The sequence below is a fragment of the Homo sapiens genome, chromosome 1 (assembly GCF_000001405.40).
Source record: "Homo sapiens chromosome 1, GRCh38.p14 Primary Assembly".
In the NCBI taxonomy this organism is placed as follows: domain Eukaryota; kingdom Metazoa; phylum Chordata; class Mammalia; order Primates; family Hominidae; genus Homo; species Homo sapiens.
The window spans coordinates 119,674,751-119,691,366 of record NC_000001.11 but is presented as its reverse complement, the minus strand read 5'-3'; the positions used below and the strand labels follow the sequence as shown (position 1 = coordinate 119,691,366).

Sequence of the window (16,616 nt, the reverse complement as noted above, 5' to 3'; positions counted from 1 at the left end):
TCACAAGGACAGAAAACCAAACACCACATGTTCTCACTCATAGGTGGGAATTCAACAATGAGATCACCTGGACACAGGGTGGGGAACATCACACACCGGGGCCTGTTGGGGGGTGGGGGCCTGGGGGAGGGATAGAATTAGGAGAAATACCTAATGTAAATGACTAGCTGATGGGTGCAGCAAACCAACACGGCACATGTATACCTATGTATCAAGCCTGCACGTTGTGCACCACATGTACCCTAGAACTTATAGTATAATAATAGTAATAATAATAAAAATTACCAAACATTCAAGGAAGCAGGAACATGTGACCCATGATGAAGAGAAAAAAAATCAATAGGTGGAAATCAACCTAGAACTTGACACAGATGACAGAATTAGTAGGCAAGAACATAAAAACTATTACGATAACCATATTTCATATACTTAAAATACCAAAAGGAATATTGGGCCGGGAATGGCGGCTCACGCCTGTAATCCCAGCACCTTGGGAAGCCGTGGCGGGCAGATCACCTGAGGTCAGGAGTTGGAGACCAGCCTAGCCAACATGGTAAAACCCTGTCTCTACTAAAAATACAAAAAATTAGCCGGGCGTGGTGGTGGGTGCCTGTAAGCCCAGCTACTCAGGAGGCTGAGGCTGGAGAATTGCTTGAACCTGGGAGGCGGAGGTTGCAGTGAGCCAAGATCGTGCCACTGCACTCCAGCCTGGGCAAGAAGAGCAGAACTCTGTCTCAAAAAAAAAAAAAAAAAGAAAAAGAAAAGAAAAAAAGAAACATTGAACATGTTAAGTACAGACAGGAAAGGATATATAAAAGACTCAAATCAAACTTCTAGAGATGGAAGCTACAATGCCTAAGATGAAAAATCACTGGATGGGGATAACAGCAGATTAGACATTATGGAAGAAAAGGCTGGTGAACTTGAAGATCTATCAATATAAATGACCCAAAATGAAACACATCGAAAAAATGATAAGAAAAAATAAGCGGAGGATCAGTGAGTTGCTGGAAAATATCAAGTGGCCTAATATCAATGCAATTCGAGTCCCCAGAAGAGATCAGGGGACAAAGTAGGAGAAAAAAATTTGAAGTAACAATAGCCAAAAGTTTTTCAAGTTTGTTGAAAATTGTAAATCAACAAATCCAGAATCTCAGTAAACCCCAAGCATAAAATATAGGAAAAAAGACACCAATGATCACATAATAAAGTTGCTAAAAAGCAAACAAAAATTAAAATAGGGACAAAGGAAAAATCTTAAAAGCAGCCAGCGACCAAAAAAAAAAAACAAAAACAAAAACAAAAAACAAAAACAAACAAACAAAAAACCATGGTAAATATAGAAGAATAAAGATAAGAATGATTGCAGATTTCTCATCAATGCAAGCCAGTAGAAAGTGGATTAACATTCTTAAAAGTACTGAAAAGGAAAAAAGAAACTCTATCAACAAGTATTCTATAACCAGCAAAAACACCTTTCAAAAATAAAGATAACTTTCTCAAACTACAAATGCTGAAGGAATTAATCACCAGCACACTTTCACTATTAAAAAAAAATTTAAAGGAAGCCTTTCAGCAAAGTAAAATGATACCAAATGGAGATCTAGATCCACACAAAGGAATGAAGAGTCCCAGTAATGCTAACTATGTGAGCAAATACAATGATGACTTGCCCAAAGTCAGAAAGTGGTAGAGCTGGGACTTGAGTTCAGGGCTTTTGACACCAAGGTCAATCTTAACCCACTCCACTGCAGCTGCATTTAACACTGCCATTAATTTAAATTAACAAACACTGATTACATTCTTATTCTATACAAAGTTGGTACAACATTGGTAGTGTTGGGGGGGAATCTAAGAGTAAATGAAGTACATGCTCTGCTCTCAAAGGAGCTTATCTTCTATTCCGAGTATCAGAGATAAAAAGGAAAGGGAAATTTAGGGAAGAGTGTGGGAAGTTCTGAATATGTCCTGAGAGTGCAACTCCACCATCAAAATTAGAATGCTAATAAAGTGAGTCCACTTTCAAATCAAGAGCAGGGCCATTTCATCCATTAAGGATTACAGGTCCAAGAGCCCAAGATCTGTGATGGTCTTAAAACACTACTCATTGATAATTCAAGCTGAGTCTGGCATTAGAAGATTTAAATAAAAACACAACACCTATTCTTTCATTTGACAAACATTTATTGCCATGGACTGTAAAGAATGCTGATAATGTAAAAACTGGAACAAGACACAGTGTTACTATGATCAGTATTATCAAGCATCAACAAAGTGGAATGGGCCACATGCAGCTGGTTAGCTCAGAGGAGGGCTAGATCACTGGGGGCTAGCATTCCTGGAAGGCTTTATGAGCTGAGCCTTAAGAAGGATAGACTAGAACAGGCAGTGAAGCAGGATGAACTGGTCCAGGGGGTTCTGAGCACAAGTGTGCAAGCAGCAATGTGCATAGGAGGTTGGTGGAAGTGAAGAGAAGGACCCTAGTCTGCCTGTTGAAAAAAGGAAAGAAATGAGATTAGGTTCAAAGAGTAGGCTATGGAGAAGCTTTTAATTTAGAGATTGACAGGGGGCTCAAGCTATTAATAGGGGAAGAAAAGACAAGCTAACAGGTAAATTCTAGAATCAAATCCAAGATTACATATTCATTAGTAACTTGCTTCAACTAACTATAACCAGTTATTAGACAATGTATAATTTATACAGCAAGCAGTATGTTTTTTATTCTGCAGGGACAAACAGGGACTCTAAGGAAATTAGATTGGCAGATAAAGTATAAATTGGCAATCTAGTAAACAGAAATCATCCCAACAACTCGACTCCATGCTGACTTAACAGACTGAGATGTTATCCATTCAGTTAGGCCACAGTGGCTATATGATCTTTGATCAATTACTTCTCCTCTATGTGTCTCAATGTCTTCATCTGAAAAACAGAGTTGTTGTAAACATGTCCTGAAAAAAAAATGGATGTGACAATGCTTTGAAAACATAGTTCCTAAACAACTGTTATTTGTTATTATTATACAGTAATAAGGACTAAGAGACATAATTCCACACCCATTCATCATTTATTATTCTGAATAAGTTTGAGAAGTATATGCTTGATATAAAGAGGGCAAACATACTCAAAGATGACCATTTTTTTTCTGTTATTTTATACCATTGTCGTTGAACCTGTTTTTCTTGCAGTCATTTTATTTATTGATCTTTCCTTTGCTACAGTGTCTCTTCTTGCTTCGTCCATGTCTACAAGATTATAAAATGTACCTCGAATTCAAGTCAAAGAAATGAAAGAGTTGAGGTGTGTGGTATGAACATTTATCTAACTATTTATTCACACTAATTGTTCAATTAAAATATTCCAGAAATTATGCAAATAAGAAAAAATCTACATCCTTAAGGAGCTCACAGTAGGAGGGCCACATAGTCATGTAAATAAATAACACTATCACAAAAGAATGTCAAAAGGGCTTTGGAGGAGGGTGCTCCTAGATGCTCTAACAGAAATCAGATTGGCTAGCTGGGAGGCAGGGCTGTGGAAGCTTCCAATGCCAGGGACCACTGGAGCAATCTAGTAAGTAAATCATGCTTTGTGCAGAGGGAATGGGATGCCTAAAAGGATCGATACATGACAAGCCATAACATATCCAGGAAACTGCAATAAGATTAGCAATTTCAGAGTATAGGTTCTAAGGGAGTAGTGATGAGTAATAATACAGGATAATGGACATCAGCCAGGTCAGGAGGAGCTGTGCAGAGGAGTATGCAGAATCAGGGGGAAAAAAGTACAGTAATGAAGGAATAGATTGCACAATAAGGTGGTGAGATTTTATCTATGATATGTAAGAGAGATTCCAGGTGTGGATGTGTTTACAGCCATTCGATTATTACATATTGAGGAGCCTTTTATCCTATTTGTATTGTGTGGTCCTTCTACTTCTCTTACTGGCCATCCCTACTGAACGTCTTTTGACCATTTCAGTGTCAATTACCTTTGTAACAAGAGTAGGATGGGGAAAAAGATCAATTAACTTTGAACATATTACTCTAATAAGCATGTGAACAAGTGAAATAGCTCTACCACTGATCATTCAAATGAATCATGTGAGGGGGTAGACCAAATAGACGTGAAGGCAATTTGTGTGCAACAGTGCCCAACAAGGGCTAGCTGTTATTATGTATGTTTTGTGTCTAGCTGCTTTCAACAGAGAAATGATAACACAGGCAGCATTTTCAATCCACTTAATACTCAAAGAACTATTACCAATAAATCTGGCAGCACAATGTAGGGAAGCAGGAAATTCACTAAAAAATCAGAAACATTGGTTTGTGAACAGCTCTAGAATGGAATGCTGTAAATAGTCATGAGTTTGGTGTAGAAGCAGAGCAGAGACAAAGAGAGAGCTTGCAAGTTAGCATCTTACCCAAACCCATAAATAATCACCCAGAGAGTGGAAAAACTGGTTTGTTGAAGTTTGGAGGACATTAATAATGCTCTGTTTCTCCAGTGATCTCTTCCCACAGGGGAACTGGCATGCTTGGCAAGCAGCCTCATTACTCACAACCCTGCTTCTGCTGGGCTGGCAAAATCCGAAGGTATCATTAAACACATATAGCGGGTAGTCTTCCCCAGACCACTCCAAGAAATCGGGTCCATTCAACAGTCAGTAAACATTTATAGAGTCTATATATGCTTGACACATAGTAAGTGCTCAATAAATGCTAGCCTCAGTTATTATAGCTCAATGTCTAGCATATGATAGGTACAGCATGATTGTTTATCATGGAAGGGATCTAGAAATAGTTACCATGTCCCTGGGACAAAACTTCTGCCACTCCATGTTCCTTCTAGGCCCTTCTAGGCCCTGCTAGGTTCCTTTTAGCAGATAGTGCTGGCTGATCACTAACCCTGTTCTTCTCCAGGGCACACTACCCTGTGGGCACAGATAGATCACATTTTCTACCCTTCCTTGGAGTTAGGTATTGTCACATGACTAAATTCTAGCCAATAGGGTGTAAGCTGAACTGATGAGGGCCAGTTCTAGTCCTGGTTCTTAAAACCTCTGTTGTAGTTTACATTTCTGTAATGATACAGTAAGATTCTGCAAGACCAACTCCTTCATACAAAACACTTATCAAATCTGGACATAAGGCAAAAAGCAATAATTAATGTACTGGAAAGTACTAGATAGAGACGAGTATACTCTTTGCTCATATCCAGAATATTTAAAGAACTCTTACAACTCAATAATAAGATGAACAACCCTATTTTTGAAATGGGCAAAATATTTGAAAAGGCATGTCATAAAGGAAAATATACAAATAGCCAATAAACATGTGAAAAGATGCTCACCTCACTAGTTAGGATCATGCAAATGAGAAATAAGATTCTACTACACATCCATTGATATGGCTAAAACTAACAACACTGACAATTCCAAGCATTGACAAAATTTGGAGCAACTAGAAGTCCCAGACATTGCTTGTGACAGTGCAAGATGGTCAGCAATTTTGGTATATAGTAGGGCCGTATCTTACAAAGTTAAACATCCACTTGTCATGTGGCCCAGTAATTCCACTTCTAGATATTTACACGAGAGAAGTTAAAGTATATGCACACAAAAGGGCATATATGCAAATCATAGCACCATTATTCATAATAGCTAACACCTGGGGCTTATCCAAACGTCAAAAAACAGTGAATGCATAAACAAATCATTGTGTATCCATACGATGAAACACTACACAGCAATAAAAATCAATGAAGAACTAATATAATGATCAACATGGATTATGCTGAACAAAGGAAGCATAACACAAAATACATGTTGTGTTCCATTTGTACGAGATTAGAGAACAGGCAAAGTTTATCTGTATTCACAGAAAGTTGCCTGGGGCTAGGGGTTTGTAAGAGGGGATCAGATGTAAAAAGGCAACAGGAAATTTTTAGGATGTTATAAAGCCTACATTTTTATTTTCATGGTGGTTATACAACTATACACAATTAGCAAAAGTTAATCAAACTGTACCATTAAATTGGGTGAATTTAATTTAAAAAAACCCTCACACAACCCTGTCTCTCCTACTCATCTGCTGGCTGATTATGGTGCCCAGAGAGACCTTGAAAACCATGTGCTGATGATGGTGGTGCCCCAATCCCCTGGGTCTCTTAATGAATGTGTGGGGCAGAGCTCTCCCCAACATTGCTGATAAAAAAAACCCATACTGGACTGGTATATGGCTGAGAAATAAATGGTTAGAGTTTTGTGTTCTTGAAATTTGGGGGGTTACAGAAGCAAAAATTCCCTTAACAAATATATATGTCTCCAAAATAAAACACACAATCAAGACCACTAATTTGTCCTTGCTCAACTCACATTATTTAACTAGAAACAAATCAGTGATAACATAAACGTCCAAATTAAGAGAAAAATTAGGTAAATTATGGCATCTCCTTCCTATATAATATTATATAGCCACTTAATAATTATGAGAACTCTCTAGTAACCTGCAAACACACTCACAATGTGAAATGAACAAAGCAAAACCCATAATTCTATCTATACTATTGTATTAGGATGCCCAGACACCTCAAACTGCGTTCATGCAAGACTTTGAACATATTTAGGCCTGTCTGAAGAGACTTACCTGGCGTATGTTTGCATGAGGTACTGAGGAACCTATTGAGTAAAAATTCATTATAAGGAAAAGAGAATCAAGTATCATAAGCTCAGCTTAGGAACAGAATCAGCAAAAAAAGAAATAGGTCGTCCTAAAAAGACTGTCAGCAATTTAATTTGCTCTCTCTCAAACTGTGGACTCACAGATGCTCAAAGGAGTATGGACTGCAATAAAAAGCCTGTAAAAACCACAAGGGCAGTTCCATCAAAATCTCCACGTTTGCACTACTTGATAGACCAGGTCCCTGATTCTAACACAGTGGACTTGCTGATCACAAGCAAGCTGACTGAGGAGTCAAATCAGCCTTTGCTTGCTGCTGGAAGAAGAATGGAAGAGGGCATCACACTGGGGCAGAGGAACCGGGCAGCTTTTGAAGTTTCTGCAGCAGCACCAGCAACAGGAGACATGCTGAAAGGGAGATGCTAAAAAGAAGAGGAAAATTGGAGATGACACATGATAGCTGGGAGGATTAGTTCCTGAGAATTCAAGAACTAGTTAGGAAGGATGTGAGGAGGACTGGAATTTCTGCAGAATGAGTAGGGCTAGAATCAGAGAAATATTGTCTGATTACTGCTAGTGTGACCTGATATCTACCCTCAGGCTGGCCTGGCCTGTATACACATAAAATCTGTCTGTGCATGTTTTGCGTGCATGAGTTCTTTTCATTATGTGTTTGAAAAATATAGACAAACATATAAAGTGTAAAACAGAACATACAAAAATTAAAACAGGCCAGGTGCAGTAGCTCATGCCTATAATCCCAACATTTTGGGAGGACAAGACTGGAGGATTGCTTGAGGCCAGGATCTCAAGACCAGCCTGCACAACATAGTGAGACCTCATCTCTGCAAAAAATAAAAAAATTTGCCGGTATAGGGGCACGAGCCTGTCATCCCAGCTACTCAGGAAGCTGAGGCAGGAGGATCATTTGAACCCAGGAGGTTGAGGCTGCAGAGAGCTGTGATTGCACCACTGCACTCCAGCTTGGGCCATAGAGCAAAATACTGTCTTGAAAAAAAAATTTAAAAGATTGTAAGATGATAGGATTATAGATAATTTTTTCTTTTGTTTTGATTTCTGTACATGTTATCATTGTTTTTTTGCAGCTCACTGCAGCCTCGACCTCCAGGGCTCAAGCAATTCTCCCGAGTAGCTGGGACCACAGAGGTGCACCACCACGCCCAGCTAACTTTTTAAGGTTTTTTTTTTTGTTTTTTTTTGGTTTTTTTTTTTTTTTTTGTAGAGACAGGGTCTCACCATGTTGCCCAGACTGGTCTTGAACTTCTGTGCTCCAGGGATCTTCCTGCCTCTGCCTCCCAGGATTATAGATGTGAGCCACCATGCCCAGCCTCATTGTTTTAATAGAATCAAATGTGATACAGAATTCAATCCTCCAGTTATTTGTTCTAAATTACTGAATAATTGATTCCTTCTGTTCTCATAGCATAGGCATTACAAGAACAGGAAGAATAAGACATTGGATTCTCTTACATTCTACAATAAACATAGATCTACTACAAAGAATATTTTGGAATTCAACGCAGGTTTATTTTTATTTATTTTTTCTTTTGTATCCCATATATCATCTCAATAGCAATTTACCATTCTCCTGGAGTTTGATTATGGCCCTTTTTATAGAAATAAATCTGAGGCAGCAAATAAAGGAAACTTTTCCTTGGCCAGCAGCGACATTGTGAGTAAGCAAAGCTTAGAATTTATTACATATCATTTCCAGTCTTGAAGCCCTGGCTAACCAGTGACTTACCTTTATGAACAACTAACATGAATCTCTTCACTCAGAGGGAAAGAAAGGCTCTCACAACCTTTAGAGATGCTACGTGTTTATAGCCAATCCTATTTAGATGAAGTCTCAGAAAATAATTCCCTGACCATTCATTCACTCATTGGGCATATATTCACTCATTCATCCAACTCATATTTCTGGGCCTGACATTCTGTTAGATGCTGGGGATAAACGGCTCCATAAAGTAAATGTTCTGAGGAAACATACAGAAATAACTAGGTATCCAAAGTATTTCATGTGTGTTGTGGAACATAGTTGAGAGAGACATTAACTTTCCCTAGGGGAAAAGAAAGGACAGTGGTCTGTCTTCCACAAGGCTCACCAGTTTTCTGGGCCACAATATCTGTTCTTATTGCCCATCCCTCACTGCTAGGATGATGCTATGTATTTAAGGTCATTTGATGGCAGCATCCATTTCCAGGTATCAGTGGTTTATATTATTTACTAACAAAATATAGTACTTAAAAAATTGAAGATTTTTTCTTACACACATAATGATCTCACCATGAGCAGTCTTAAGTTGGTAGGCAGCCTTACTCCATGAGGTCATACAGGACTCATGTCTTTCCACCTTACTGTTGCACCATCTCCTTTAGTACCACCCTTATTTTTATAATTAAAATTGCTTTTGTTGTAAGAATTTATTGTTCTTTCCCAAACAATGCCCATTTTTTTCCCAATACAAGTACACTAAAAGTATGTGCTAGAAAAGAACAGTGAAGGCAGGTGCAGTGGTGTGCACTTGTAACCCCAGCTACTTGAGAGGCTAAGGCAGGAGGATCACTTGAGCCCAGGTGTTTGAGGCTTCAGTGAGCTTTGATCATGCCATGGTACTCTAGCCTGGACAACAGAGTGAGACCCCTATCTCTTAAAAAAATAGAAAAGAACAGTGGAAAGATATTAAATGTCTTCATTTTCCTTCAGAATAAGGGTATAAGAACAACAGATTATTTTTGGTCTTAAAGGGGGCTTACAGTCTGTGATGGTTCATTTTTTGTGTTAACTTGGAAGATGTTATTGGATGAGATTAACATTTAAAACCTGGCGTGTGTTTATGGATGAGATTAACATTTAAATCCGTGAATTTTTGAGTAAGCACATTGCTCTCCATAATGTGGGTGAGCCTCATCCAATCAGTTGAAGCCAAATAGAACACAAAGGCTGGCCTCCCTGAGCAAGCAAGAATTCCCCAGCACACTGCCTTCCAGCTTTATCTGCTCCACTGGCTCTCCTGGGTCTCTACCTTGTCAGCCACTCTGCAGATTTTGGACTTGCCAGTCTCTATAATCACATGAATAATTCCTTATAATAATCTCTTTCTATTTGTGTATATTCACATCTTATTGGTTCTGCTTCTCTGGAGAATCTTGACTAATAACAAACCGAATGCTACTCTGTATAACAACATGCTATTTAACACAGAATCATTGAATCAAAATCCTTTTCTTATTGACAGGGAATACAAACAGGAATTGAACACTGTTCTAGACCTGGAAAAACTGAGATCAACTGGGATTAAATGGTATTTGGATAAATCCGGTGTTTCTTTTTTACCTCCTTAAAATTTTGCAGGTCCAAGTGGATTGTATTGCATGAGACAAATAGCCTTAATTCCATTACCTTATGAATTTTCCTAGACAGTTGATTCTACCCATTGATGTATTGACTGTAATTCTTCACTCTTGGGCATACATTTGGAATTCCAGAAAAGCAAGACCCAATTATATTAGGGCCAAGTCTCAACAGGAGCCTGAGTCTTGTGGTTGTCACCTCTTGCCACTCTAACACTATTCCATTCTGGACAATTTCCTCACTATCTCCTTGTCCACAGAGATTTCACTTGAGACTCAGGATTCATATTGAGGTGGCCTGAGTCTTACAATGTTTTCAACCACTATTTATATTTCAACACGTATAGTGTTTATTGTATGCCAGGCATTGTCATAAGCACTTTTATAGAATGTATTCATTACTCATAAGAACCCTAGGAGGTGTGTTCTATTATTAGCATCCATAACATAATAGAAATTATATTTACTCTCTAAATGAGTAATATAGAGATTTAAAGACAATTTAAAGAAATTTAAAAAGCCAATTTTAGGCAGCTGACCTCATAGCAGCGTTGAGATTTGAATCCAGGCAATCTGGCTCCAAATTCAGCTGTAACCACAATACTCTGTTGTCTTTCTACTTGCTTTAAGGAAAACAAGAAAATATCCCTGGCTTATCTGCCGCTGGCCCAGGAAATGCTCAGCACTGACTTCTCATATTTGTTATATTCTCATATATATCTTCTCATATTGTTATTTAAAATATTACCAAAGATGAGGATGTTGGTGGCATCCCTCTTGTTTCCACCTGGCTCTCTACCCGCTGAAGGCCTCTAAAACCCACTACTAGATCCATTTGGTCCCCACTTGCAGGTTCAGCTCATCTTGATTCAGAGATGAACTGATCCCCAAGAAGCGTGTTAAGAACTATAGGGTCAAAGCTCATTGACTTGGAATCAAGCCAACTTACTGCTAGCTCTGCTTAGATGTACTTTGTTTATGGATTATTTCCTTAGGTTATTTTAAATTTTACTTATGTATTTATTCATTTATCAAGATGGGTTTGCGCTGTGTTGCATAGGATGATTTTGAACTCCTGGGCTGAAGCAATCTTCCTACCTCAGCCTCCCATGTAGCTAAGGTTACAGGCATTTGCCACTGTGCCCATCTTCCTTATTTTAAATACAATGCCTGTACCACAACATTGGTAACTGGGTGCCTGCTTTTCCCTTGTGTCACTTTCCCACCTTGACTCCCGGCTTCAAACTCTACTTCCTGTCTTGCTCTTCTCAATTCCAGAGATTAAAATCCTGGCCCTGAACTGCAGTCCTCTGGTTAGGTTCCTGCTTCCAGCCATCTCTAATGCCACCTGCCATCCTGCTTGGCTTTTTTGGGGGCTCTGCACTGCCCACATGCCTGGTTATTTACCTCCTGCATCTCCCTGGACATCGTTTTGTTACCTACTACTGGAGCCAGTCCCAACCTGATAGACTGATCAGGTTTGGAGGTTTTAACCTTCTCTTGGTTGATCCATCACCAATGCCAAAAGAACCCTGGTTCTGACCCTAAGCCCACTCCTAATCCAGTTGGAGACAGAGAGATAAAGATGAATGGAGGAGATGGCAATCAAGCAAAAAGCTAGAGGTGGGAACATTGAGTGATCAGTTATGATCTTAATAAGCCTGGATGGCACAGAGAAGCTGTGATAGTATTTTAAAAAATGTATTTGGTCTTCATCCTGGGTTCCTGGCACAGAGCTCCTAAAACCCTTTGAATTTCCTGAGTGATAGGATTATCTTTTGTTATTCATAATGAGCCCTGTTAGATCACACTGAAACTTATGTTAACAAGGTAACTTGAGATGGGGTCCCTAGATAGCTTCAGAATAGGATGGTCACTAAAAAGACCAAGTGATTGGAGGGTTGGAACTTTCAGCCCCACCCTCTGACCTGTTGAGCTCTATAAACTCTTGAACAATAGATTCAGAGAGCTACTGGGTGCTGGGAGGTGACACACCCAGAGAGGCCATTGAAGCTCTGTGCCACCCTCACCCTACTCCCCCATACCTTGCCCTCTGCGTCTCTTCCATTTGGCTGTTCCTGAGTTGTATCCTTTATAATAAGTCAGTAAATGTAAGTAAACTGTTTTTCTGAGTTCTGTGAGCTCTTATATCAAATTATTGAACTTGAGGAGGGGATCTTGGGAATCCTTGATTTATAGCTGGTAGGTCAGAAGCATGGGTGGCCTGGCCCAGATGAGACTGACATTTGAAGTCAGTGCAGTCTTATAGGACTGAGCCCTTAATCTGTGTCTGCACTAACTCCAGATAGTGTCATAATTGAATTTTTGATACCTGTTACAGGTAGTTAGGCGTGAGTGGGGCAGGAGAGGGCTCTCCCCCACCCACCAGGAATGGCAGGTGACGGTTTGATGATTATCACGTTGCCTCTCTAAAAGCGATAAATTGGCAGCCAGCCTCCAGAGAGAGGCCATTTCTTGATGGTCCATACCCATTGCACTGAAGTGTTGATTGACAGCAGACACCAGAGAGGCAATTTCCCAGGCCTGCGCATTAAGAGACAAAATGGTGGAGTATGACCTTCTGGTGGCACTCCACCAGAAAAGGGAAGAAAGTCTCAGATGGGCATGCATACAACTTCCTAAACACACTGCATGTGCTCAATTCCCAAGGGTAAGGAGGGCACTGTGCATGCAGGCAACACACCCTAAGGGAAGAATCATGGAAAGGGGGCGCAAGACGCCAGAGTTTGCCAGCCTATAAAGTCCTAGGATGATGGTTAAACCAGGCACTTGACCTTCTCAGTGCCCACTTGCGTCCCTTCCGAAAGCACTTTCCTTTCCTGCTCTAAAGCTTTTTAATAAACTTCCACTCCTACAATGAAACTTGCCTCAGTCTTTTTTCTGCCTTATGCCCCTCAGTTGAATTCTTTCTTCTGAGGAGGCAAGAATTGAGGTTGCTGCAGACACATATGAATTTGCCACCGATAACCAGGATATCTTCCACTGGTAACATACCCAGTTGATGTCAGAGAATTGATGAGCATCAGAAACCACCCCAGAGAAGCTATACATGGTAAGGGCCCTAAATTCCCAAGGGAGCATAAACAGGGTGTCTTAGAGTTTTGGTTCAGTTCTACTGGAAGGCGTGATGTACTGAGAAAGAGCTTAGGGTCAACCAGCCACCTTCAAATTAAATGAGACCTACAGGCTCTGAGCAGTTGCCTTGCCCCTCACTGATACAGCAGGAGTTCTTACCTGGGGTTCAGGTATGCCTAAGGGTCTATGCACAGACTTTGGGAAATTGTTTGCTTATGAGTGCTTTTTTCTTGAGGGAAGGCTGAGTTGCTTAGATCAGATTCTCACAAGACCTTGTGACTGACAACTCTAGAAACTTTCCCACAACTGTCAGCAAGGCAAAGTTAATGGGCTAAACATTTTACATATATATAAGTATGTGTACATCGGGGTTGAATGTAGACCCCAATGTATTAAATCCCTCATAATTATAGCTTCAACACAATCCATATTCACAATATAGTATATAATACATTAGGATGTACATTCAAACCTGTTCTTTTTAAAGCCCAACTGGCAATGTGATTCACTAGCTTCAGCATGTGGTGCTTGGTTGGAATGAGCTTAATCAGTTTGATAGCATCATAGACTTTAAGTTAATGAAAACAGAAAGTTTGGAAAAAGACAACACCGTGGGGGAATGATCAGAATGCAGAGGTCGATCTAGTTTTGATGCATAAAACAAAACATGCTGCAGAGATTTGTAGCAGAAAGAGGCACAGGAAATAGCTGTATTCAGGTGACTTTCGGGTGGGAGTGGGGGCTGCTCTGGTAGATACCTTACCTAAAGAGAAGTCTTGTTCTTTTTCCTAAACAGAAACTGATTAACCTGAAACTTCGAAGAAAGAACACTCCTGACCTTGTGGTTCTTGCTGACCTAGGATCAGCAGTTGACCTTATTTAAAAATTAGCCATGTAGAAATGTGGGCAGAGGTTAGAGTCACAGTGTGTCAGAAACGTTGGGAAGAAGCTTAGAAATCTTCTTTTTTTAATTTTTTAATTTTTTTATTCTTGAGACAGAGTCTCATTCTATCACTTACACTGGAGTGCAGTGCCAAGAATATGGCTCATTGAAGCCCCAACCTTCTGGGTTAAGCAATCCTCTCACTTCAGCCTCCCAAGTAGCTGGGACCGCAGACCCACGCCACTACACTCAGCTAATTTTTTAAATTTTGTAGAGACGGGGTCTTGCTATGTTGCTCAGGCTGGTCTCCAAGTCCTGGGCTCAAGTGATCCTCCTACTTTGGCCTCCCAAGGTGCTGGGATTACAGGCATTAGCCACTACACTCAGTCCAGAGAGCCTCTTTGATGGGTTACTAATTGTTGGCCATAAACACAAGTGCTTTTTGGCCCATGGAGTGTTTCAAAAGTAATTGGAGCCAATATTGGCTCCAAACTAAGGGATTTCACAAGATAATAAAGATTTCTATTTCTTTTGAAAAGACTGAAAACATTGCAACACTGGCCTCTAGTGCCCACTTGGGACCACTCAGTGACAGCAGTCCCCCTTAGAAGGTGATGAGTTTGCAGACTATCCTGGGGCCCACTCTTAGGAGACTAGGGATTGTGTTATTGGGGAATTGAGAGGAGCAGAGCTGAAAGACAGGAAAGAGGCCGGGCGCAGTGGCTCACGCCTGTAATCCCAGCACTCTGGGAGGCCGAGGCGGGCGGATCACAAGGTCAGGAGATCAAGACCATCCTAGCTAACACAGTGAAACCCCGTCTCTACTAAAAATATAAAAAATTAGCCGGGCGTGGTGGCGGGCGCCTGTAGTCCCAGCTACTCGGGAGGCTGAGGCAGGAGAATGGTGTGAACTCGGGAGGTGGAGCTTGCAGTGAGCCGAGATCGCATCACTGCACTGCAGCCTGAGTGACAGAGCGAGACCCCGTCTCAAAAAAAAAAAAAAAAAGAAAGGCAGGAAAGAATCGCTGAGATTTTTTAAAGCAGAAAAAAAGGGGTAAAGAGGAAGTACGTAAGTTTACTTTGGGGTCTGGCCAGTGTACTTTCTGTTTTACCCAGGGAAGTGTCAAATTACATATTAGAGCCTTTGTGTACCTCATGGCACCTCATTTGGGCAGAGGGCCGAGTCCACTCCTAGCAGAAATTCAGTAGGCTCCAGGAAAATTCTACTGGGCTCCCTGTGTGTCCTTGGGGAGCCTGTTGGGAATCTCCAACGCTCTTTGGCCTGGAGTTAGTTTTATTTCTCAGTCCGGCATTGCACTCACCCTTCACAATCAGGACAGCTTATTCCTGCTTTTCAGCTCCTTCTTCCCAATGCCAATTCATACCTGACTTCAATATTCACTCCCAGCTTCTAATGGACCAATGTTTACTACTTCAACAAACAGACTCTGGTTACCTATAATGTGTCAACTGCACAAAGTGCTGGGGCATTGAAGACAAGACATGATCCTGCCGGACAGAGGCATAGTGTGACTAAAATGTTTGTGGGGAAGGCTGACCATCTGATTGGGTGATGGAAATCTGTCCACCAGATGGCGCTCAAGAGATTCCAGTGTAACAAAACAACTAGAGAAAAATTAAAAAGGGAAATTTGCCCCGTGGAAGAATAAATAGCACTATGACTTCTATTTCACGTGTACTTTTATGTTCTATTAAGCACCTAACAGTTACATTCTCCAAACCCCTGGATTCTGGGTATCATGTTCAGACAGGGAGGAACACAAGCTTCCACACCCGGCCTCCCTCCCCTTCGACCACCCGTAATCTCCGAAGACAGAGCACCGCCCCGTGAGACTAGGAAAGAACTGGCTATTGGTGAGATGTGCTCTCGGGAGGAAATTCCTCCATTTGAATGAAGGGCTGATTCTTACCTGAGTTCCCTCCCAACTGGGTGTCCTTGGGAAGGGAGGTCTCTCCTGTCCTAGATTCTGTGGCACTGCTCTCTCCCTATCTGCTCATCTTCTGTGTAATTTGATTAGAAATATTTATTTTTTTATGTGCAAGCTCTTCCAACTGTTTATAGCTTTTCACATTTTTTTCTGAATATAATAAGCTCGTTACAAGAAATGCGAATAGATTAAAAATTTAGAAAAAGTATAATTCCTCTATAATTCAACTCTTGGAGATATCCACTGTTGAAAGTTTGGTGTATATTCATCTAGAACAGGGTTTCTTAATCTCAGACCTGTTGGTATTTGCGGCCAGCAAATTCTTTGGAAAGCTGCCCTGTGGATTGTAGAATGATAAGCAGCAACCCTGGCCTCTGCCCACTAGAGGCCAGTAGTAGCCTCACCACCACCACCACCACCGCCTAGTTGTGACAACCAATAATGCATCCAGACATTGCCAAATGGTTTCATATTACACATACGTTCGGGCAACTGGCTTTTCAACTTACATTTTTGTTGTTGTTGTTGTATCTTAACAATAGATTTTGGTCATCTTTCCATTTCAGAACATCTGGACCGATTACATCCTTCAGTCTATTGTATCATGATTTATTTAACCTGGTATCTTCTATG

The 16,616-nt window shown here is 40.6% G+C and overlaps 1 long non-coding RNA gene across 1 annotated transcript in view, besides 3 other annotated features; it reads left to right on the top strand.

The window, feature by feature from the left end:
- Positions 1-10,041, top strand: part of LOC105378937 (uncharacterized) — a 30,521-nt gene extending 20,480 nt beyond the window's left edge. Inside the window, exons 2-3 of the long non-coding RNA XR_947757.4 lie at positions 3,222-3,300; positions 9,941-10,041. This is a non-coding gene — a long non-coding RNA (uncharacterized LOC105378937). The remainder of the gene's footprint in view (positions 1-3,221; positions 3,301-9,940) is intronic.
- Positions 3,155-3,758: an enhancer, noted in NCBI's record as "OCT4-NANOG hESC enhancer chr1:120230232-120230835 (GRCh37/hg19 assembly coordinates)". NCBI's record gives its function as "activates a minimal SCP1, AML or CMV promoter by ChIP-STARR-seq in naive H9 embryonic stem cells {active_cell/tissue: H9 hESC(naive)}" and the evidence as "EXISTENCE:reporter gene assay evidence [ECO:0000049][PMID:30033119]".
- Positions 11,557-12,132: an enhancer, noted in NCBI's record as "OCT4-NANOG-H3K4me1 hESC enhancer chr1:120221858-120222433 (GRCh37/hg19 assembly coordinates)". NCBI's record gives its function as "activates a minimal SCP1, AML or CMV promoter by ChIP-STARR-seq in primed H9 embryonic stem cells {active_cell/tissue: H9 hESC(primed)}" and the evidence as "EXISTENCE:reporter gene assay evidence [ECO:0000049][PMID:30033119]".
- Positions 15,240-15,741: an enhancer, noted in NCBI's record as "H3K27ac hESC enhancer chr1:120218249-120218750 (GRCh37/hg19 assembly coordinates)". NCBI's record gives its function as "activates a minimal SCP1, AML or CMV promoter by ChIP-STARR-seq in primed H9 embryonic stem cells {active_cell/tissue: H9 hESC(primed)}" and the evidence as "EXISTENCE:reporter gene assay evidence [ECO:0000049][PMID:30033119]".